Raw genomic sequence first — 21,059 nt, 5'->3', positions numbered from 1 at the left:
ACCCTCCACCTGAGTGCTGATCAGGACAAGACACATGAAAGATGCGCTCTCGAGCTATGTGTAGCTGATCTAAGCACACCATTGTTCAAAAGATCGCGTCTTGGGCATTAACTGGATCAAAGCGCCTCCACTCAGCCTTCCATGAAGTGGAACGGACTAATGCCCTTCCCAAGGCAGGTTGGTGGCTCAAGGGTACTCGGGACGTCTTCTCTGAACACATGCATGTTCCTGGGTTTCGCCTTCTCCACGTTTGGGGCCTCTGAGGGACTAATTTCCTCATGCCGCTAGGAACGTGTTGTTGGCAGGCTTGCCATAATTGGACAGAAAGAAAGCAACAGGAAATACGGCATGTTCAGATGCCTTCGCCTGGAATCCAATTGACCTGGAAGGATCGTGGAGTCCCTGACCCCAAGAAGGCAAGAAAGAGGGGTTCCCCGATTTCCTCCCGCAGACGGGAAGCTGAAAGGAAATCAACCAGGGTGACCTAGAGGAGAAAAAGACCAGGGGCCCGGGGTGACACTCGCCCTCAGATAATCAGAAGGTTCCGTGGATCCTTTTCCATTCGGCAGCGGCTTCTCTGGAGGTTTCCCGGAAAACATGTGGAGGAGAGCCTTCCTCTGCGGGTCTTGTTGCCTGCAGAACAGAAAAAGGTCAGGCCGTGCCCCCTGGTTTTCCCCAGGAGACAGGGAGAACCCCGTCTGGGGCCCAGCCCCATTCCGTGTCTTGTGATACAGAAATGGACATCTGGTGCCCTTTCCGCCTCTGCACCTTCCCTCACGTGCCAACCTTCCCATCCTCCAGGTGGCCCTCTAGGCTTCCCAACTAAGGACTGTGATTTGGATTCCATCGCTTTTCCCGCTGTCGCGGGGAACCTGCACGAAGCGCCCCCGCCTCTCCCCGTCCCTGAATCTCCCAGAGCCCAAGGAGCTCCTGGGTGTGGAACCCCGGAGGACACGGAGCTCCGGCCTATTTCTCTGCAGCGTTCCTTCCCTGGCCCGGAGACGGAAAGGCACACGGTGTGCAGGTGCAGAGACACCATGTCCTTAGGAGGCAGTACCCCAAGAGTGGTGAAAACCCCTCCCACTGCTCACCTTGGTCTCTCTTCCTTCTCTCCCTTATCCTTGTTCAAGGGCCCCGGGTTGGCTTCAACCCGGGGCTTCCATGGTTTCAGGTTTTCCTTCCCTTCCTTTTTCCCCAAGGTCGCTGGAACCAGGGCTGCCTTCCAGCACTTCATGGGGCACCTGGTACTTCTGGCCGTGTGGCCAAAGGCCCCGCAGTTTTTGCACTTGAGCTGTGGGTGGAAAGGAAGTGATGTCAGTGAGTGAGCTGAAGCCACAGGCAGCGATCCCACGTCAACATTGGGACGGATTGTGAATTCAGAGCTGAATAAGGATTCCAAAGAGGGGACACCGGCATGGGGGCCGTTAAGTGCTGGGAGAGTTCGGATACGATGTTCCCTCGCAAAGCCCGTGTGACGGAGGAACTCTGAAAGGAAGGACTCAAGGTTCCAAGGGGCACGATGGTGAAGCCGATGTCAACAACGCAGCCAAACGTGGCTACACAGGACTCTAAGTAGAAAGGGAGGTTGCCCCCAAGAGTCTCTCAAGGGACCTATCGGGCCGGGGAGAAGGTCCCAAGCCACGCCCACCTTGGATGGGAAAAGCAACCTGGCTGGTGGTGACAGAACTCTTTGGAATCCAACCCAGTCTCTGAGGACCGTGGGACACCCCCTCCCCCCGTCCCCACCCCCACCCCGATACCCAAGAGATCCAGGGCTAGACTTACCCTGGGATCTTCTTCATCGGGCGGGGGAGCCCTTGGCCCAACTGGGGCCCTCCGCTGCTTCTGGAGGGTCTGGGCTCTCACCAGTCTCTTGGCCCAAGATGTGGGGTCCCGACGTGCCATCATCTTCGTCTCCTGGGGGTTTTATGACCGCCTTTTTCAGGGGTGGACTGTTGGGCCACCTGAAACACACACAAACACACACATGTCGATGGTTAAGCACGTTGGATATTCACACACCCACAGGAAGCCACCTGCTAACTCCCTGCCTGTGTGGTCATGAGGAGACCTCACCACCAGTCGGTCAAATCTGTAGAACACAATGTGCTGCGCGCATCCTCGGATATTGTGTGTTCCTCTGCCATGACTACCTAGTCCAAGAGTAAACCCCACCTGCCACAGGGCCCGTGGCCTAGGTATGGGGGGTTGAGCTTTCAACCCCAAACAAACAACTGATTCTGGAGACTGGACTTAGGTCTCTCACGATTCACTCCGGTAGAAGACACGGTGATTCTATCTCCCTTGACGGACAGAATGATCGAAGACACAGGGCATGGCGTGTGCCACCCTTTGGCAGGTCTGCTTGAAGTCAGGGATAAGGGATGCTTCCTGTGACAACTTGAATCGCTACTCTTGCCATTTCATTAGGCAACTTCCAAACACAAATTCATACAGAGAAGTTACCTTCCTCTCTACCGCACTAGCAGGTGATGGTCTTTCCTGTTCTATCTTTTGGCTTTAGCTCCAGCCCCTCTTTATTTATTTTCCTGGTATTTTACGCATACCACACGAATTCATCTGAACAAACGGGGAAGAAGTGCCATATCGTATCGACGTCTTACACGGCTCAAGGGCCAACCACCCTTTTTTCCAAAGTCCTTTTGCCGTTTACCCACCAATTCAGCAGGCTGCAGTACATTTCTTTTCGCATTCCCATCTTGGTCTTCTCCCACACGTGGAGACGGATATGTTTTCTCGTTTTCTGTTCCAAGAATTACTAGTAACGAGAACACATCCTACCCCACCAGCAAGCCCCAGTGTGATCGGTTTCTTTCGGCCTCCTTTGTCTCTTCCTCCCCCACACCCCCCGCAAAAACCCCTCAGGGATTGCGTGAAACAAACAATTGTTCAGCGAAACTAACCTGAAATTACACGTCTACTTTCTTTCCCAGGCTGGCGCTGAGATGGGCAGGTGCTGCAGCAGCCCCGCTGGAAGCGATGCAGCATCCAGAACGACGGAGGAAGGGGCGGAGAGGGACCTCTGCTTTCCAGGCTGCCTTTTATACTGCCTCTGGTCACCTGACATGGAACGTACCCTAACCTAATCAGTTACCTGTACCTTAATTGCAATTAACTTAATCCAGTTACATGACCTGGAAAGGTCTATCTGCACAGCCCACTCTAAGATCCTGTCCACTGCTGACAGACATTCTAAAACCTACTTGTACAGCTGCAAGCTTTGAACAATAGATGTTCCCCGTCAGACATGTAACACTGGTGCCTGTATCCCTGTCTTCTTTTCCATCTTTTTTGTTGTTTTGTTTTGTTTCGTTTTAAAAAATGTGGTAAAATAGACACCTTTTAATTGGACCACATTTTGTCTCTCTCGACGTAGGCCTCAGTGTCATCAAGGAGACTCTCCTTGACATGCAGTCACGGCCATGATCCATCTTCAGAGCTTCTCTTTCTTCCCCAAGGTAAGTCTGTCAGCAGAGAACCCTGACCGCACCCTCATGTGTTTTCTCCCCCAGGAGGCGCTTGGAAACCACCGTGAATTGGACCGCACTGGGAAACACAGATGAGGAAAGTCAACAACGCTTTGTCCTTCAGTGCCTGCCTCCTTTTTCAGCTCGTCTTGCGACTCCCGGACGCCTGTGAGGCTCTAATTCCCTGGGTCCCATTGCCATGTCTCTGGATTTGCGAAGATCCACCGCACCTTCTGTGGAACTCCCGTGTCGGTGAACTTTTGTGCCACGGCCCCTAATTCTGCCCATGGTCATCCGCACCTGCACGACTTAGGGTCCATGTTCCTTGGACGGGAAGAGACAGGCAGGAGTCGGAATGATGAACCAGCACACTGGGGCGTTTTCTCATGTAGCCCAAGTGACCCCATGGTCTTCTCGAGCTTTGGAACCAGTCGCGTCCCCTTTGACACTGCACCCGGCTCCCAGTCTCTCAATCTTGTTGGCCCTCCGGCGATCTCCCGTTGGATGAATTGCTCCTGCTGAAACTCCAGTCCCCTTTGATTTGCGCTTCATTAATTATTCATGATTCAGGTTGGAAGGCCTGCTGACGACCCCCTGTGGCCGTTCTCTGAGCTTTCCTGTCACATCGTTTCCTTCCACGCTCTTTGGTTCCTTATGGTCCTGCTCCCTCTGCTGTCAGAGGAGCAGAGAGTTGATCTTATTCATTCTGGATACGGATACTTTCTAGGTGATCTGGATAATCAAGATAACGACCCTCAACAGCGGCGGAGAGGGAGCAGCCAGTTGGTGTGTCTCAGAAAATCCCACTGAGTTCCGAGGCCTCCTAGATGTGGAATCCTGCTGAGAGTTGTTCCCAGGTCAGAGAATGGAGAGAGCCTGTGCATGATGGGACATCCCCGCCTAGATCTTTCAGTGAGTCTCTACCTCAGCTACTCTTAGGATCAGGGGGAGAACCATGGTGTCAGACATCCGGAAAGAAGACGGGATGAATGTTTTACCTCTGAAGTACATCCCAAATGTGGGAGTTAACTTCAGCTTTGCTGGGGTCTATTTGGCCAGTGAAACTCTGCCTGGTTCCTTCGCACATCCGGAAGCCACTTCACGGGGGGCCGTCGCAACTGGAACCACACACTTGGCATCGGCGGTTGAGCCAAATGGGGACTCGTGGTGCAAGCAACGCTCCCCACGTGTTAGCGTGCGTGAGATGCGGTTGGCGGAATTTTACTAGGTGCGTGTTGGTAGAGTGGGGCTGAGGTTTTCTTGCTCCTGTGGATGTATAGCAAGTCAAAGGTCCTGCCCAGCCCTGCGGTCCCCTCAGTCAACTCTGTTTCGGAGACGTAACGATTTGGATTGCCAACAAGTCAAGAAATGTTCAAGCCCTTGGATGTAGGGTAAAGAAAGAGAGATCAGACTGTCACTGTGTCTATGTAGAAGGGGAAGACATAAGAGACTCCATTTTGAAAAAGACCTGTAGTTTAAACAATTGCTTTGCTGAGATGTTGATCATTTGTAGCTTTGCCGCAGCCCCTTCCTTTGACCCAACTTGGAGCTCACAAAAACCTGTGTTGTATAAAATCGAGGTTTAAGGGATCTAGGGCTGTGCAGGACGCGCCTTGTTAACCAAATGTTTACGAGCAGTATACTTGGTAGGAGTCATTGCCATTCCCTAGTCTCAATAAACCAGGGGCGCAATGCACCGTGGAAAGCCACAGGGACCTCTGCCCTTGAAAGCAGGGTATTGTCCAAGGTTTCTCCCCATGTGACAGTCTGAAATATGGCCTCGTGGGATGGGAAAGACCTGACTGTCCCCCAGCCTGACACCCGCAATGGGTCTGTGCTGAGGTGGATTAGTCAAAGAGGAAAGCCTCTTGCAGTTCAGATGGAGGAAGGCCACTGTCTCCTGCTTGCCCCTGGGAACTGAATGTCTCGGTGTAAAGCCCGATCGTACATTTGTTCAACTCTGAGCTCGGAGAAAAGCTGCCCTGTGGCGGGAGGCGAGACATGTTGGCAGTAATGCTGCCTTGTTATTCTTTACTCCGCTGAGATATTTGTGTGGAGAGAAACATAAATCTGGCCTACGTGCACGTCCAGGCATAGTACCTTCCCTTGAACTTAATAATGATATGGATTCTTTTGCTCACGTGTTTGTTTTTGTTGTTGCTGTTGAACTTCCCCTTATTATCACCCTGCTCCCCTACTGCATTCCTTTGTGCTGTAATAATGATAATCATAATCAATAAAAACTGAGGGAACTCAGAGGCCGGTGCCGGTGCAGGTCCTAGGTGTGCTGAGTGCCGGTCCCCTGGACCCACTGTTGTCTCCCTATACTTTGTCTCTGTGTCTTATTTCTATTCTCCATCTCTCATCCCACCCGACTAGAAACACCCACAGGTGTGGAGGGGCAGGCCACCCCTTCACTTGGAAAATCAGTTACACACAAACACGGAATGAGAGTCAAAAGACAATATGTCATCTTTTTGAGAATTTTATTCACTTCAAAACCAATTAAACACACATATGTACAAAGGCATTCCAGAGCCCAGTTTTCGAGGCTGAGGAAAGACCCCGAGAGCGCTTCACACAGCACGCTTCCCAGCGTCCGAAACTCTGCTCTCAGGGCGGGGCACAGAGGAAGGGCTGCACCTCTCAGGGTTCCCTAACTTTTCCCTTATTCAGTCATCTAGAGAGCAAATACACAGTAATTCCCCAGTTTCCTATTGACGTCCCAGCGGAAGTCTGACTCCTGCGCGTCACGCAGTTTCTGAGGCAACGAATCTCTGGCACGGAAGCTTTTCCTGGCGCGTTTCGGGAGAACCACGCCAACTACAACGTCCCTCACCAGAATTCAATGAGGCAGAGTCCCTGCATCTGCTCCCTGCCTGGCCTGGGCTCCCACATCCACAGAAGCGCCACAGCCGGGGAGCTTCGGAGTCACCGCACAGAGTCTGCTCTCTGCTCTGCGCTCCTCAGTCCCACAGTCCCCTCCAAGTCACGGGAGCTGGAGGCCAAGGAGCCCCTGCCACCTGCAGTCTCACTCCAGGTCAGAATCGCTGTCCTCTGAGGAGGAGGAAACCTGAAGGTCCTCATAGAGGACGCTCGGTGGGACACGAACACAGGGAGCCTCAGACTTCTCTGACACATGAGGGCTCTGAGCGAGGAAGGCTCCCGGCTTCTCAGGAGAGTGAAATGAGGGGGCCGCCAGGAGGCTGGAGCTCCAGCGTCCGTTTTCCAGTCTCCGGAAGAGCACTCTGAGAGGCTGGGCCCCATCATGGCTGGCCGCTGGGTGATGGGACATGGTGCAGGCCTGGGCAGTGGGCAGGCAAGGTCTGCTGTGCGGAGGCTGCCGGTCGACGCTGGGCACCTGGGCCGGTGTCCTCCTGCCCATCTGGGGCGACGTACTTGGTCCAAGTTCGGTTGCGGCTGGCGGAGGTTGGAGATTCTCCGGGGCCCCCAGCTCACCTCCCTGGATGGCGCTTTCGGGGATCTGGAAGGGACCCAGTCTCGGTTTCTTGGGGAAGTTCAGGCAAGCCTGAATCGGAGCCTGGGCAGGTCTCTTGGCTCCTGGCCCGAAGCTGAGATTGGAGCCTAGGCCCAAGCTGTGTGTGGCGGCTGGCGGGCAGGGCTGTGAGGTCACCGCAGGACGTTTGTCTTGTGCCTGGGGTCTGGCGGCCTGGAGCAGGCCGTGGGTTTTGGAGGCAGCCTGGGGAACTTCTCGGCAGCCACCCTCGGGGCGGCTGTGTGTCGGCTTCACCACGAGGAGAGGCTCGCGGCCCTGGTGCCTGACTGCAGGCTGAGGCATGTCGGCCGCAGCCCCTGTCTGTCTTTCCTTTGGTCCAAGACTTGAGGAGGAGCTCAGGCTGGCTTTTCTGAGGGGAGACAGTGAAGCCAAGACGGAGCCCCTGCCAGACATTTCGGTAGCTGAGCGATCAGCGAGGACAGGGTCCAAGCGCGGCCTCTTACTGGTTGTGTGGACCGGCATTGGCCCGCTTGCAACCTGAAAGAGAGGAAACAACACAGGTTAGAAGTTCCTCAGCATGGAGCCAACGTGAAAATCAAGCACATCCAAAGACAAGGTGCACACGCCATGAAATTCTTAGTACAGTATCGACAGGCGGTCCTTGGAAGTAGGGACAGACCCTCCACCTGAGTGCTGATCAGGACAAGACACATGAAAGATGCGCTCTCGAGCTATGTGTAGCTGATCTAAGCACACCATTGTTCAAAAGATCGCGTCTTGGGCATTAACTGGATCAAAGCGCCTCCACTCAGCCTTCCATGAAGTGGAACGGACTAATGCCCTTCCCAAGGCAGGTTGCTGGCTCAAGGGTACTCGGGACGTCTTCTCTGAACACATGCATGTTCCTGGGTTTCGCCTTCTCCACGTTTGGGGCCTCTGAGGGACTAATTTCCTCATGCCGCTAGGAACGTGTTGTTGGCAGGCTTGCCATAATTGGACAGAAAGAAAGCAACAGGAAATACGGCATGTTCAGATGCCTTCGCCTGGAATCCAATTGACCTGGAAGGATCGTGGAGTCCCTGACCCCAAGAAGGCAAGAAAGAGGGGTTCCCCGATTTCCTCCCGCAGACGGGAAGCTGAAAGGAAATCAACCAGGGTGACCTAGAGGAGAAAAAGACCAGGGGCCCGGGGTGACACTCGCCCTCAGATAATCAGAAGGTTCCGTGGATCCTTTTCCATTCGGCAGCGGCTTCTCTGGAGGTTTCCCGGAAAACATGTGGAGGAGAGCCTTCCTCTGCGGGTCTTGTTGCCTGCAGAACAGAAAAAGGTCAGGCCGTGCCCCCTGGTTTTCCCCAGGAGACAGGGAGAACCCCGTCTGGGGCCCAGCCCCATTCCGTGTCTTGTGATACAGAAATGGACATCTGGTGCCCTTTCCGCCTCTGCACCTTCCCTCACGTGCCAACCTTCCCATCCTCCAGGTGGCCCTCTAGGCTTCCCAACTAAGGACTGTGATTTGGATTCCATCGCTTTTCCCGCTGTCGCGGGGAACCTGCACGAAGCGCCCCCGCCTCTCCCCGTCCCTGAATCTCCCAGAGCCCAAGGAGCTCCTGGGTGTGGAACCCCGGAGGACACGGAGCTCCGGCCTATTTCTCTGCAGCGTTCCTTCCCTGGCCCGGAGACGGAAAGGCACACGGTGTGCAGGTGCAGAGACACCATGTCCTTAGGAGGCAGTACCCCAAGAGTGGTGAAAACCCCTCCCACTGCTCACCTTGGTCTCTCTTCCTTCTCTCCCTTATCCTTGTTCAAGGGCCCCGGGTTGGCTTCACCCCGGGGCTTCCATGGTTTCAGGTTTTCCTTCCCTTCCTTTTTCCCCAAGGTCGCTGGAACCAGGGCTGCCTTCCAGCACTTCATGGGGCACCTGGTACTTCTGGCCGTGTGGCCAAAGGCCCCGCAGTTTTTGCACTTGAGCTGTGGGTGGAAAGGAAGTGATGTCAGTGAGTGAGCTGAAGCCACAGGCAGCGATCCCACGTCAACATTGGGACGGATTGTGAATTCAGAGCTGAATAAGGATTCCAAAGAGGGGACACCGGCATGGGGGCCGTTAAGTGCTGGGAGAGTTCGGATACGATGTTCCCTCGCAAAGCCCGTGTGACGGAGGAACTCTGAAAGGAAGGACTCAAGGTTCCAAGGGGCACGATGGTGAAGCCGATGTCAACAACGCAGCCAAACGTGGCTACACAGGACTCTAAGTAGAAAGGGAGGTTGCCCCCAAGAGTCTCTCAAGGGACCTATCGGGCCGGGGAGAAGGTCCCAAGCCACGCCCACCTTGGATGGGAAAAGCAACCTGGCTGGTGGTGACAGAACTCTTTGGAATCCAACCCAGTCTCTGAGGACCGTGGGACACCCCCTCCCCCCGTCCCCACCCCCACCCCGATACCCAAGAGATCCAGGGCTAGACTTACCCTGGGATCTTCTTCATCGGGCGGGGGAGCCCTTGGCCCAACTGGGGCCCTCCGCTGCTTCTGGAGGGTCTGGGCTCTCACCAGTCTCTTGGCCCAAGATGTGGGGTCCCGACGTGCCATCATCTTCGTCTCCTGGGGGTTTTATGACCGCCTTTTTCAGGGGTGGACTGTTGGGCCACCTGAAACACACACAAACACACACATGTCGATGGTTAAGCACGTTGGATATTCACACACCCACAGGAAGCCACCTGCTAACTCCCTGCCTGTGTGGTCATGAGGAGACCTCACCACCAGTCGGTCAAATCTGTAGAACACAATGTGCTGCGCGCATCCTCGGATATTGTGTGTTCCTCTGCCATGACTACCTAGTCCAAGAGTAAACCCCACCTGCCACAGGGCCCGTGGCCTAGGTATGGGGGGTTGAGCTTTCAACCCCAAACAAACAACTGATTCTGGAGACTGGACTTAGGTCTCTCACGATTCACTCCGGTAGAAGACACGGTGATTCTATCTCCCTTGACGGACAGAATGATCGAAGACACAGGGCATGGCGTGTGCCACCCTTTGGCAGGTCTGCTTGAAGTCAGGGATAAGGGATGCTTCCTGTGACAACTTGAATCGCTACTCTTGCCATTTCATTAGGCAACTTCCAAACACAAATTCATACAGAGAAGTTACCTTCCTCTCTACCGCACTAGCAGGTGATGGTCTTTCCTGTTCTATCTTTTGGCTTTAGCTCCAGCCCCTCTTTATTTATTTTCCTGGTATTTTACGCACACCACACGAATTCATCTGAACAAACGGGGAAGAAGTGCCATATCGTATCGACGTCTTACACGGCTCAAGGGCCAACCACCCTTTTTTCCAAAGTCCTTTTGCCGTTTACCCACCAATTCAGCATGCTGCAGTACATTTCTTTTCGCATTCCCATCTTGGTCTTCTCCCACACGTGGAGACGGGTATGTTTTCTCGTTTTCTGTTCCAAGAATTACTAGTAACGAGAACACATCCTACCCCACCAGCAAGCCCCAGTGTGATCGGTTTCTTTCGGCCTCCTTTGTCTCTTCCTCCCCCACACCCCCCGCAAAAACCCCTCAGGGATTGCGTGAAACAAACAATTGTTCAGCGAAACTAACCTGAAATTACACGTCTACTTTCTTTCCCAGGCTGGCGCTGAGATGGGCAGGTGCTGCAGCAGCCCCGCTGGAAGCGATGCAGCATCCAGAACGACGGAGGAAGGGGCGGAGAGGGACCTCCGCTTTCCAGGCTGCCTTTTATACTGCCTCTGGTCACCTGACATGGAACGTACCCTAACCTAATCAGTTACCTGTACCTTAATTGCAATTAACTTAATCCAATTACATGACCTGGAAAGGTCTATCTGCACAGCCCACTCTAAGATCCTGTCCACTGCTGACAGACATTCTAAAACCTACTTGTACAGCTGCAAGCTTTGAACAATAGATGTTCCCCGTCAGACATGTAACACTGGTGCCTGTACCCCTGTCTTCCTTTCCATCTTTTTTGTTGTTTTGTTTTGTTTCGTTTTAAAAAATGTGGTAAAATAGACACCTTTTAATTGGACCACATTTTGTCTCTCTCGACGTAGGCCTCAGTGTCATCAAGGAGACTCTCCTTGACATGCAGTCACGGCCATGATCCATCTTCAGAGCTTCTCTTTCTTCCCCAAGGTAAGTCTGTCAGCAGAGAACCCTGACCGCACCCTCATGTGTTTTCTCCCCCAGGAGGCGCTTGGAAACCACCGTGAATTGGACCGCACTGGGAAACACAGATGAGGAAAGTCAACAACGCTTTGTCCTTCAGTGCCTGGCTCCTTTTTCAGCTCGTCTTGCGACTCCCGGACGCCTGTGAGGCTCTAATTCCCTGGGTCCCATTGCCATGTCTCTGGATTTGCGAAGATCCACCGCACCTTCTGTGGAACTCCCGTGTCGGTGAACTTTTGTGCCACGGCCCCTAATTCTGCCCATGGTCATCCGCACCTGCACGACTTAGGGTCCATGTTCCTTGGACGGGAAGAGACAGGCAGGAGTCGGAATGATGAACCAGCACACTGGGGCGTTTTCTCATGTAGCCCAAGTGACCCCATGGTCTTCTCGAGCTTTGGAACCAGTCGCGTCCCCTTTGACACTGCACCCGGCTCCCAGTCTCTCAATCTTGTTGGCCCTCCGGCGATCTCCCGTTGGATGAATTGCTCCTGCTGAAACTCCAGTCCCCTTTGATTTGCGCTTCATTAATTATTCATGATTCAGGTTGGAAGGCCTGCTGACGACCCCCTGTGGCCGTTCTCTGAGCTTTCCTGTCACATCGTTTCCTTCCACGCTCTTTGGTTCCTTATGGTCCTGCTCCCTCTGCTGTCAGAGGAGCAGAGAGTTGATCTTATTCATTCTGGATACGGATACTTTCTAGGTGATCTGGATAATCAAGATAACGACCCTCAACAGCGGCGGAGAGGGAGCAGCCAGTTGGTGTGTCTCAGAAAATCCCACTGAGTTCCGAGGCCTCCTAGATGTGGAATCCTGCTGAGAGTTGTTCCCAGGTCAGAGAATGGAGAGAGCCTGTGCATGATGGGATATCCCTGCCTAGATCTTTCAGTGAGTCTCTACCTCAGCTACTCTTAGGATCAGGGGGAGAACCATGGTGTCAGACATCCGGAAAGAAGACGGGATGAATGTTTTACCTCTGAAGTACATCCCAAATGTGGGAGTTAACTTCAGCTTTGCTGGGGTCTATTTGGCCAGTGAAACTCTGCCTGGTTCCTTCGCACATCCGGAAGCCACTTCACGGGGGGCCGTCGCAACTGGAACCACACACTTGGCATCGGCGGTTGAGCCAAATGGGGACTCGTGGTGCAAGCAACGCTCCCCACGTGTTAGCGTGCGTGAGATGCGGTTGGCGGGATTTTACTAGGTGCGTGTTGGTAGAGTGGGGCTGAGGTTTTCTTGCTCCTGTGGATGTATAGCAAGTCAAAGGTCCTGCCCAGCCCTGCGGTCCCCTCAGTCAACTCTGTTTCGGAGACGTAACGATTTGGATTGCCAACAAGTCAAGAAATGTTCAAGCCCTTGGATGTAGGGTAAAGAAAGAGAGATCAGACTGTCACTGTGTCTATGTAGAAGGGGAAGACATAAGAGACTCCATTTTGAAAAAGACCTGTAGTTTAAACAATTGCTTTGCTGAGATGTTGATCATTTGTAGCTTTGCCGCAGCCCCTTCCTTTGACCCAACTTGGAGCTCACAAAAACCTGTGTTGTATAAAATCGAGGTTTAAGGGATCTAGGGCTGTGCAGGACGCGCCTTGTTAACCAAATGTTTACGAGCAGTATACTTGGTAGGAGTCATTGCCATTCCCTAGTCTCAATAAACCAGGGGCGCAATGCACCGTGGAAAGCCACAGGGACCTCTGCCCTTGAAAGCAGGGTATTGTCCAAGGTTTCTCCCCATGTGACAGTCTGAAATATGGCCTCGTGGGATGGGAAAGACCTGACTGTCCCCCAGCCTGACACCCGCAATGGGTCTGTGCTGAGGTGGATTAGTCAAAGAGGAAAGCCTCTTGCAGTTCAGATGGAGGAAGGCCACTGTCTCCTGCTTGCCCCTGGGAACTGAATGTCTCGGTGTAAAGCCCGATCGTACATTTGTTCAACTCTGAGCTCGGAGAAAAGCTGCCCTGTGGCGGGAGGCGAGACATGTTGGCAGTAATGCTGCCTTGTTATTCTTTACTCCGCTGAGATATTTGTGTGGAGAGAAACATAAATCTGGCCTACGTGCACGTCCAGGCATAGTACCTTCCCTTGAACTTAATAATGATATGGATTCTTTTGCTCACGTGTTTGTTTTTGTTGTTGCTGTTGAACTTCCCCTTATTATCACCCTGCTCCCCTACTGCATTCCTTTGTGCTGTAATAATGATAATCATAATCAATAAAAACTGAGGGAACTCAGAGGCCGGTGCCGGTGCAGGTCCTAGGTGTGCTGAGTGCCGGTCCCCTGGACCCACTGTTGTCTCCCTATACTTTGTCTCTGTGTCTTATTTCTATTCTCCATCTCTCATCCCACCCGACTAGAAACACCCACAGGTGTGGAGGGGCAGGCCACCCCTTCACTTGGAAAATCAGTTACACACAAACACGGAATGAGAGTCAAAAGACAATATGTCATCTTTTTGAGAATTTTATTCACTTCAAAACCAATTAAACACACATATGTACAAAGGCATTCCAGAGCCCAGTTTTCGAGGCTGAGGAAAGACCCCGAGAGCGCTTCACACAGCACGCTTCCCAGCGTCCGAAACTCTGCTCTCAGGGCGGGGCACAGCGGAAGGGCTGCACCTCTCAGGGTTCCCTAACTTTTCCCTTATTCAGTCATCTAGACAGCAAATACACAGTAATTCCCCAGTTTCCTATTGACGTCCCAGCGGAAGTCTGACTCCTGCGCGTCACGCAGTTTCTGAGGCAACGAATCTCTGGCACGGAAGCTTTTCCTGGCGCGTTTCGGGAGAACCACGCCAACTACAACGTCCCTCACCAGAATTCAATGAGGCAGAGTCCCTGCATCTGCTCCCTGCCTGGCCTGGGCTCCCACATCCACAGAAGCGCCACAGCCGGGGAGCTTCGGAGTCACCGCACAGAGTCTGCTCTCTGCTCTGCGCTCCTCAGTCCCACAGTCCCCTCCAAGTCACGGGAGCTGGAGGCCAAGGAGCCCCTGCCACCTGCAGTCTCACTCCAGGTCAGAATCGCTGTCCTCTGAGGAGGAGGAAACCTGAAGGTCCTCATAGAGGACGCTCGGTGGGACACGAACACAGGGAGCCTCAGACTTCTCTGACACATGAGGGCTCTGAGCGAGGAAGGCTCCCGGCTTCTCAGGAGAGTGAAATGAGGGGGCCGCCAGGAGGCTGGAGCTCCAGCGTCCGTTTTCCAGTCTCCGGAAGAGCACTCTGAGAGGCTGGGCCCCATCATGGCTGGCCGCTGAGTGATGGGACATGGTGCAGGCCTGGGCAGTAGGCAGGCAAGGTCTGCTGTGCGGAGGCTGCCGTTCGACGCTGGGCACCTGGGCCGGTGTCCTCCTGCCCATCTGGGGCGACGTACTTGGTCCAAGTTCGGTTGCGGCTGGCGGAGGTTGGAGATTCTCCGGGGCCCCCAGCTCACCTCCCTGGATGGCGCTTTCGGGGATCTGGAAGGGACCCAGTCTCGGTTTCTTGGGGAAGTTCAGGCAAGCCTGAATCGGAGCCTGGGCAGGTCTCTTGGCTCCTGGCCCGAAGCTGAGATTGGAGCCGAGGCCCAAGCTGTGTGTGGCGGCTGGCGGGCAGGGCTGTGAGGTCACCGCAGGACGTTTGTCTTGTGCCTGGGGTCTGGCGGCCTGGAGCAGGCCGTGGGTTTTGGAGGCAGCCTGGGGAACTTCTCGGCAGCCACCCTCAGGGCTGCTGTGTGTCGGCTTCACCACGAGGAGAGGCTCGCGGCCCTGGTGCCTGACTGCAGGCTGAGGCATGTCGGCCGCAGCCCCTGTCTGTCTTTCCTTTGGTCCAAGACTTGAGGAGGAGCTCAGGCTGGCTTTTCTGAGGGGAGACAGTGAAGCCAAGACGGAGCCCCTGCCAGACATTTCGGTAGCTGAGCCATCAGCGAGGACAGGGTCCACGCGCGGCCTCTTACTGGTTGTGTGGACCGGCATTGGCCCGCTTGCAACCTGAAAGAGAGGAAACAACACAGGTTAGAAGTTCCTCAGCATGGAGCCAACGTGAAAATCAAGCACATCCAAAGACAAGGTGCACACGCCATGAAATTCTTAGTACAGTATCGACAGGCGGTCCTTGGAAGTAGGGACAGACCCTCCACCTGAGTGCTGATCAGGACAAGACACATGAAAGATGCGCTCTCGAGCTATGTGTAGCTGATCTAAGCACACCATTGTTCAAAAGATCGCGTCTTGGGCATTAACTGGATCAAAGCGCCTCCACTCAGCCTTCCATGAAGTGGAACGGACTAATGCCCTTCCCAAGGCAGGTTGCTGGCTCAAGGGTACTCGGGACGTCTTCTCTGAACACATGCATGTTCCTGGGTTTCGCCTTCTCCACGTTTGGGGCCTCTGAGGGACTAATTTCCTCATGCCGCTAGGAACGTGTTGTTGGCAGGCTTGCCATAATTGGACAGAAAGAAAGCAACAGGAAATACGGCATGTTCAGATGCCTTCGCCTGGAATCCAATTGACCTGGAAGGATCGTGGAGTCCCTGACCCCAAGAAGGCAAGAAAGAGGGGTTCCCCGATTTCCTCCCGCAGACGGGAAGCTGAAAGGAAATCAACCAGGGTGACCTAGAGGAGAAAAAGACCAGGGGCCCGGGGTGACACTCGCCCTCAGATAATCAGAAGGTTCCGTGGATCCTTTTCCATTCGGCAGCGGCTTCTCTGGAGGTTTCCCGGAAAACATGTGGAGGAGAGCCTTCCTCTGCGGGTCTTGTTGCCTGCAGAACAGAAAAAGGTCAGGCCGTGCCCCCTGGTTTTCCCCAGGAGACAGGGAGAACCCCGTCTGGGGCCCAGCCCCATTCCGTGTCTTGTGATACAGAAATGGACATCTGGTGCCCTTTCCGCCTCTGCACCTTCCCTCACGTGCCAACCTTCCCATCCTCCAGGTGGCCCTCTAGGCTCCCCAACTAAGGACTGTGATTTGGATTCCATCGCTTTTCCCGCTGTGGCGGGGAACCTGCACGAAGCGCCCCCGCCTCTCCCCGTCCCTGAATCTCCCAGAGCCCAAGGAGCTCCTGGGTGTGGAACCCCGGAGGACACGGAGCTCCGGCCTATTTCTCTGCAGCGTTCCTTCCCTGGCCCGGAGACGGAAAGGCACACGGTGTGCAGGTGCAGAGACACCATGTCCTTAGGAGGCAGTACCCCAAGAGTGGTGAAAACCCCTCCCACTGCTCACCTTGGTCTCTCTTCCTACTCTCCCTTATCCTTGTTCAAGGGCCCCGGGTTGGCTTCAACCCGGGGCTTCCATGGTTTCAGGTTTTCCTTCCCTTCCTTTTTCCCCAAGGTCGCTGGAACCAGGGCTGCCTTCCAGCACTTCATGGGGCACCTGGTACTTCTGGCCGTGTGGCCAAAGGCCCCGCAGTTTTTGCACTTGAGCTGTGGGTGGAAAGGAAGTGATGTCAGTGAGTGAGCTGAAGCCACAGGCAGCGATCCCACGTCAACATTGGGACGGATTGTGAATTCAGAGCTGAATAAGGATTCCAAAGAGGGGACACCGGCATGGGGGCCGTTAAGTGCTGGGAGAGTTCGGATACGATGTTCCCTCGCAAAGCCCGTGTGACGGAGGAACTCTGAAAGGAAGGACTCAAGGTTCCAAGGGGCACGATGGTGAAGCCGATGTCAACAACGCAGCCAAACGTGGCTACACAGGACTCTAAGTAGAAAGGGAGGTTGCCCCCAAGAGTCTCTCAAGGGACCTATCGGGCCGGGGAGAAGGTCCCAAGCCACGCCCACCTTGGATGGGAAAAGCAACCTGGCTGGTGGTGACAGAACTCTTTGGAATCCAACCCAGTCTCTGAGGACCGTGGGACACCCCCTCCCCCCGTCCCCACCCCCACCCCGATACCCAAGAGATCCAGGGCTAGACTTACCCTGGGATCTTCTTCATCGGGCGGGGGAGCCCTTGGCCCAACTGGGGCCCTCCGCTGCTTCTGGAGGGTCTGGGCTCTCACCAGTCTCTTGGCCCAAGATGTGGGGTCCCGACGTGCCATCATCTTCGTCTCCTGGGGGTTTTATGACCGCCTTTTTCAGGGGTGGACTGTTGGGCCACCTGAAACACACACAAACACACACATGTCGATGGTTAAGCACGTTGGATATTCACACACCCACAGGAAGCCACCTGCTAACTCCCTGCCTGTGTGGTCATGAGGAGACCTCACCACCAGTCGGTCAAATCTGTAGAACACAATGTGCTGCGCGCATCCTCGGATATTGTGTGTTCCTCTGCCATGACTACCTAGTCCAAGAGTAAACCCCACCTGCCACAGGGCCCGTGGCCTAGGTATGGGGGGTTGAGCTTTCAACCCCAAACAAACAACTGATTCTGGAGACTGGACTTAGGTCTCTCACGATTCACTCCGGTAGAAGACACGGTGATTCTATCTCCCTTGACGGACAGAATGATCGAAGACACAGGGCATGGCGTGTGCCACCCTTTGGCAGGTCTGCTTGAAGTCAGGGATAAGGGATGCTTCCTGTGACAACTTGAATCGCTACTCTTGCCATTTCATTAGGCAACTTCCAAACACAAATTCATACAGAGAAGTTACCTTCCTCTCTACCGCACTAGCAGGTGATGGTCTTTCCTGTTCTATCTTTTGGCTTTAGCTCCAGCCCCTCTTTATTTATTTTCCTGGTATTTTACGCATACCACACGAATTCATCTGAACAAACGGGGAAGAAGTGCCATATCGTATCGACGTCTTACACGGCTGAAGGTCAAACCCCCCTTTTTTCCAAAGTCCTTTTTCCATTTACCCACCAATTCAGCATGCTGCAGTACATTTCTTTTCGCATTCCCATCTTGGTCTTCTCCCACACGTGGAGACGGATATGTTTTCTCGTTTTCTGTTCCAAGAATTACTAGTAACGAGAACACATCCTACCCCACCAGCAAGCCCCAGTGTGATCGGTTTCTTTCGGCCTCCTTTGTCTCTTCCTCCCCCACACCCCCCGCAAAACCCCCCCAGGGATTGCGTGAAACAAACAATTGTTCAGCGAAACCAACCTGAAATTACACATCTACTTTCTTTCCCAGGCTGGCGCTGAGATGGGCAGGTGCTGCAGCAGCCCCGCTGGAAGCGATGCAGCATCCAGAACGACGGAGGAAGGGGCGGAGAGGGACCTCTGCTTTCCAGGCTGCCTTTTATACTGCCTCTGGTCACCTGACATGGAACGTACCCTAACCTAATCAGTTACCTGTACCTTAATTGCAATTAACTTAATCCAGTTACATGACCTGGAAAGGTCTATCTGCACAGCCCACTCTAAGATCCTGTCCACTGCTGACAGACATTCTAAAACCTACTTGTACAGCTGCAAGCTTTGAACAATAGATGTTCCCCGTCAGACATGTAACACTGGTGCCTGTATCCCTGTCTTCTTTTCCATCTTTTTTGTTGTTTTGTTTTGTTTCGTTTTAAAAAATGTGGTAAAATAGACACCTTTTAATTGGACCACATTTTGTCTCTCTCGACGTAGGCCTCAGTGTCATCAAGGAGACTCTCCTTGACATGCAGTCACGGCCATGATCCATCTTCAGAGCTTCTCTTTCTTCCCCAAGGTAAGTCTGTCAGCAGAGAACCCTGACCGCACCCTCATGTGTTTTCTCCCCCAGGAGGCGCTTGGAAACCACCGTGAATTGGACCGCACTGGGAAACACAGATGAGGAAAGTCAACAACGCTTTGTCCTTCAGTGCCTGGCTCCTTTTTCAGCTCGTCTTGCGACTCCCGGACGCCTGTGAGGCTCTAATTCCCTGGGTCCCATTGCCATGTCTCTGGATTTGCGAAGATCCACCGCACCTTCTGTGGAACTCCCGTGTCGGTGAACTTTTGTGCCACGGCCCCTAATTCTGCCCATGGTCATCCGCACCTGCACGACTTAGGGTCCATGTTCCTTGGACGGGAAGAGACAGGCAGGAGTCGGAATGATGAACCAGCACACTGGGGCGTTTTCTCATGTAGCCCAAGTGACCCCATGGTCTTCTCGAGCTTTGGAACCAGTCGCGTCCCCTTTGACACTGCACCCGGCTCCCAGTCTCTCAATCTTGTTGGCCCTCCGGCGATCTCCCGTTGGATGAATTGCTCCTGCTGAAACTCCAGTCCCCTTTGATTTACGCTTCATTAATTATTCATGATTCAGGTTGGAAGGCCTGCTGACGACCCCCTGTGGCCGTTCTCTGAGCTTTCCTGTCACATCGTTTCCTTCCACGCTCTTTGGTTCCTTATGGTCCTGCTCCCTCTGCTGTCAGAGGAGCAGAGAGTTGATCTTATTCATTCTGGATACGGATACTTTCTAGGTGATCTGGATAATCAAGATAACGACCCTCAACAGCGGCGGAGAGGGAGCAGCCAGTTGGTGTGTCTCAGAAAATCCCACTGAGTTCCGAGGCCTCCTAGATGTGGAATCCTGCTGAGAGTTGTTCCCAGGTCAGAGAATGGAGAGAGCCTGTGCATGATGGGATATCCCCGCCTAGATCTTTCAGTGAGTCTCTACCTCAGCTACTCTTAGGATCAGGGGGAGAACCATGGTGTCAGACATCCGGAAAGAAGACGGGATGAATGTTTTACCTCTGAAGTACATCCCAAATGTGGGAGTTAACTTCAGCTTTGCTGGGGTCTATTTGGCCAGTGAAACTCTGCCTGGTTCCTTCGCACATCCGGAAGCCACTTCACGGGGGGCCGTCGCAACTGGAACCACACACTTGGCATCGGCGGTTGAGCCAAATGGGGACTCGTGGTGCAAGCAACGCTCCCCACGTGTTAGCGTGCGTGAGATGCGGTTGGCGGAATTTTACTAGGTGCGTGTTGGTAGAGTGGGGCTGAGGTTTTCTTGCTCCTGTGGATGTATAGCAAGTCAAAGGTCCTGCCCAGCCCTGCGGTCCCCTCAGTCAACTCTGTTTCGGAGACGTAACGATTTGGATTGCCAACAAGTCAAGAAATGTTCAAGCCCTTGGATGTAGGGTAAAGAAAGAGAGATCAGACTGTCACTGTGTCTATGTAGAAGGGGAAGACATAAGAGACTCCATTTTGAAAAAGACCTGTAGTTTAAACAATTGCTTTGCTGAGATGTTGATCATTTGTAGCTTTGCCGCAGCCCCTTCCTTTGACCCAACTTGGAGCTCACAAAAACCTGTGTTGTATAAAATCGAGGTTTAAGGGATCTAGGGCTGTGCAGGACGCGCCTTGTTAACCAAATGTTTACGAGCAGTATACTTGGTAGGAGTCATTGCCATTCCCTAGTCTCAATAAACCAGGGGCGCAATGCACCGTGGAAAGCCACAGGGACCTCTGCCCTTGAAAGCAGGTTATTGTCCAAGGTTTCTCCCCATGTGACAGTCTGAAATATGGCCTCGTGGGATGGGAAAGACCTGACTGTCCCCCAGCCTGACACCCGCAATGGGTCTGTGCTGAGGTGGATTAGTCAAAGAGGAAAGCCTCTTGCAGTTCAGATGGAGGAAGGCCACTGTCTCCTGCTTGCCCCTGGGAACTGAATGTCTCGGTGTAAAGCCCGATCGTACATTTGTTCAACTCTGAGCTCGGAGAAAAGCTGCCCTGTGGCGGGAGGCGAGACATGTTGGCAGTAATGCTGCCTTGTTATTCTTTACTCCGCTGAGATATTTGTGTGGAGAGAAACATAAATCTGGCCTACGTGCACGTCCAGGCATAGTACCTTCCCTTGAACTTAATAATGATATGGATTCTTTTGCTCACGTGTTTGTTTTTGTTGTTGCTGTTGAACTTCCCCTTATTATCACCCTGCTCCCCTACTGCATTCCTTTGTGCTGTAATAATGATAATCATAATCAATAAAAACTGAGGGAACTCAGAGGCCGGTGCCGGTGCAGGTCCTAGGTGTGCTGAGTGCCGGTCCCCTGGACCCACTGTTGTCTCCCTATA

The 21,059-nt window shown here is 53.5% G+C and overlaps 2 protein-coding genes, 1 long non-coding RNA gene and 1 pseudogene across 4 annotated transcripts in view; 1 reads left to right on the top strand and 3 right to left on the bottom strand.

Annotated features, from left to right (window-relative positions):
* FAM90A5 (family with sequence similarity 90 member A5) overlaps window positions 1–1,908 on the bottom strand; it is a 3,011-nt gene extending 1,103 nt beyond the window's left edge. The window contains exons 1-3 of the mRNA NM_001423529.1: window positions 1,786–1,908; window positions 1,092–1,291; window positions 525–633 (exon numbers count right to left, since the gene is read on the bottom strand). Of these exons, the coding sequence (NP_001410458.1) occupies window positions 525–633; window positions 1,092–1,291; window positions 1,786–1,908 (432 nt within the window). The remainder of the gene's footprint in view (window positions 1–524; window positions 634–1,091; window positions 1,292–1,785) is intronic.
* LOC124901877 (uncharacterized) overlaps window positions 1–21,059 on the top strand; it is a 27,344-nt gene extending 6,285 nt beyond the window's left edge. Inside the window, exons 3-5 of one of the 2 annotated variants that reach the window (XR_007060793.1) lie at window positions 2,955–3,479; window positions 10,577–11,101; window positions 18,199–21,059. This is a non-coding gene — a long non-coding RNA (uncharacterized LOC124901877). Of the gene's footprint in view, window positions 1–1,337; window positions 2,490–2,954; window positions 10,112–10,576; window positions 13,438–18,198 lie in introns of those variants that run through there. The other variant, XR_007060794.1, reaches the window with a different exon arrangement.
* FAM90A13 (family with sequence similarity 90 member A13) lies at window positions 6,520–9,530 on the bottom strand. The gene is made up of 4 exons (NM_001423526.1): window positions 9,408–9,530; window positions 8,714–8,913; window positions 8,147–8,255; window positions 6,520–7,482 (listed from the first exon to the last, which is right to left on the bottom strand). The coding sequence occupies exons 1-4, from the start codon at window positions 9,528–9,530 to the stop codon at window positions 6,520–6,522; spliced, it is 1,395 nt and encodes a 464-aa protein (NP_001410455.1).
* On the bottom strand, window positions 13,580–18,812 carry FAM90A4P (family with sequence similarity 90 member A4, pseudogene; annotated as a pseudogene).

The sequence above is a fragment of the Homo sapiens genome, chromosome 8 (genome assembly GCF_000001405.40).
Source record: "Homo sapiens chromosome 8, GRCh38.p14 Primary Assembly".
NCBI classification, from domain to species: domain Eukaryota; kingdom Metazoa; phylum Chordata; class Mammalia; order Primates; family Hominidae; genus Homo; species Homo sapiens.
This window is presented reverse-complemented; position numbering and strand designations above follow the sequence as displayed.

Coding starts and splice junctions, on each gene's coding strand:
- FAM90A13 (NM_001423526.1), bottom strand. CDS start 9,530: ATGATGGCACGTCGGGACCCCACATCTTGGGCCAAGAGACTGGTGAGA. Junction 8,256..8,713: donor GAGAAGGAAGAGAGACCAAG/GTGAGCAGTGGG, acceptor TCTGTTCTGCAG/GCAACAAGACCCGCAGAGGA. Junction 7,483..8,146: donor AACCTTCTGATTATCTGAGG/GCGAGTGTCACC, acceptor CCTCTCTTTCAG/GTTGCAAGCGGGCCAATGCC.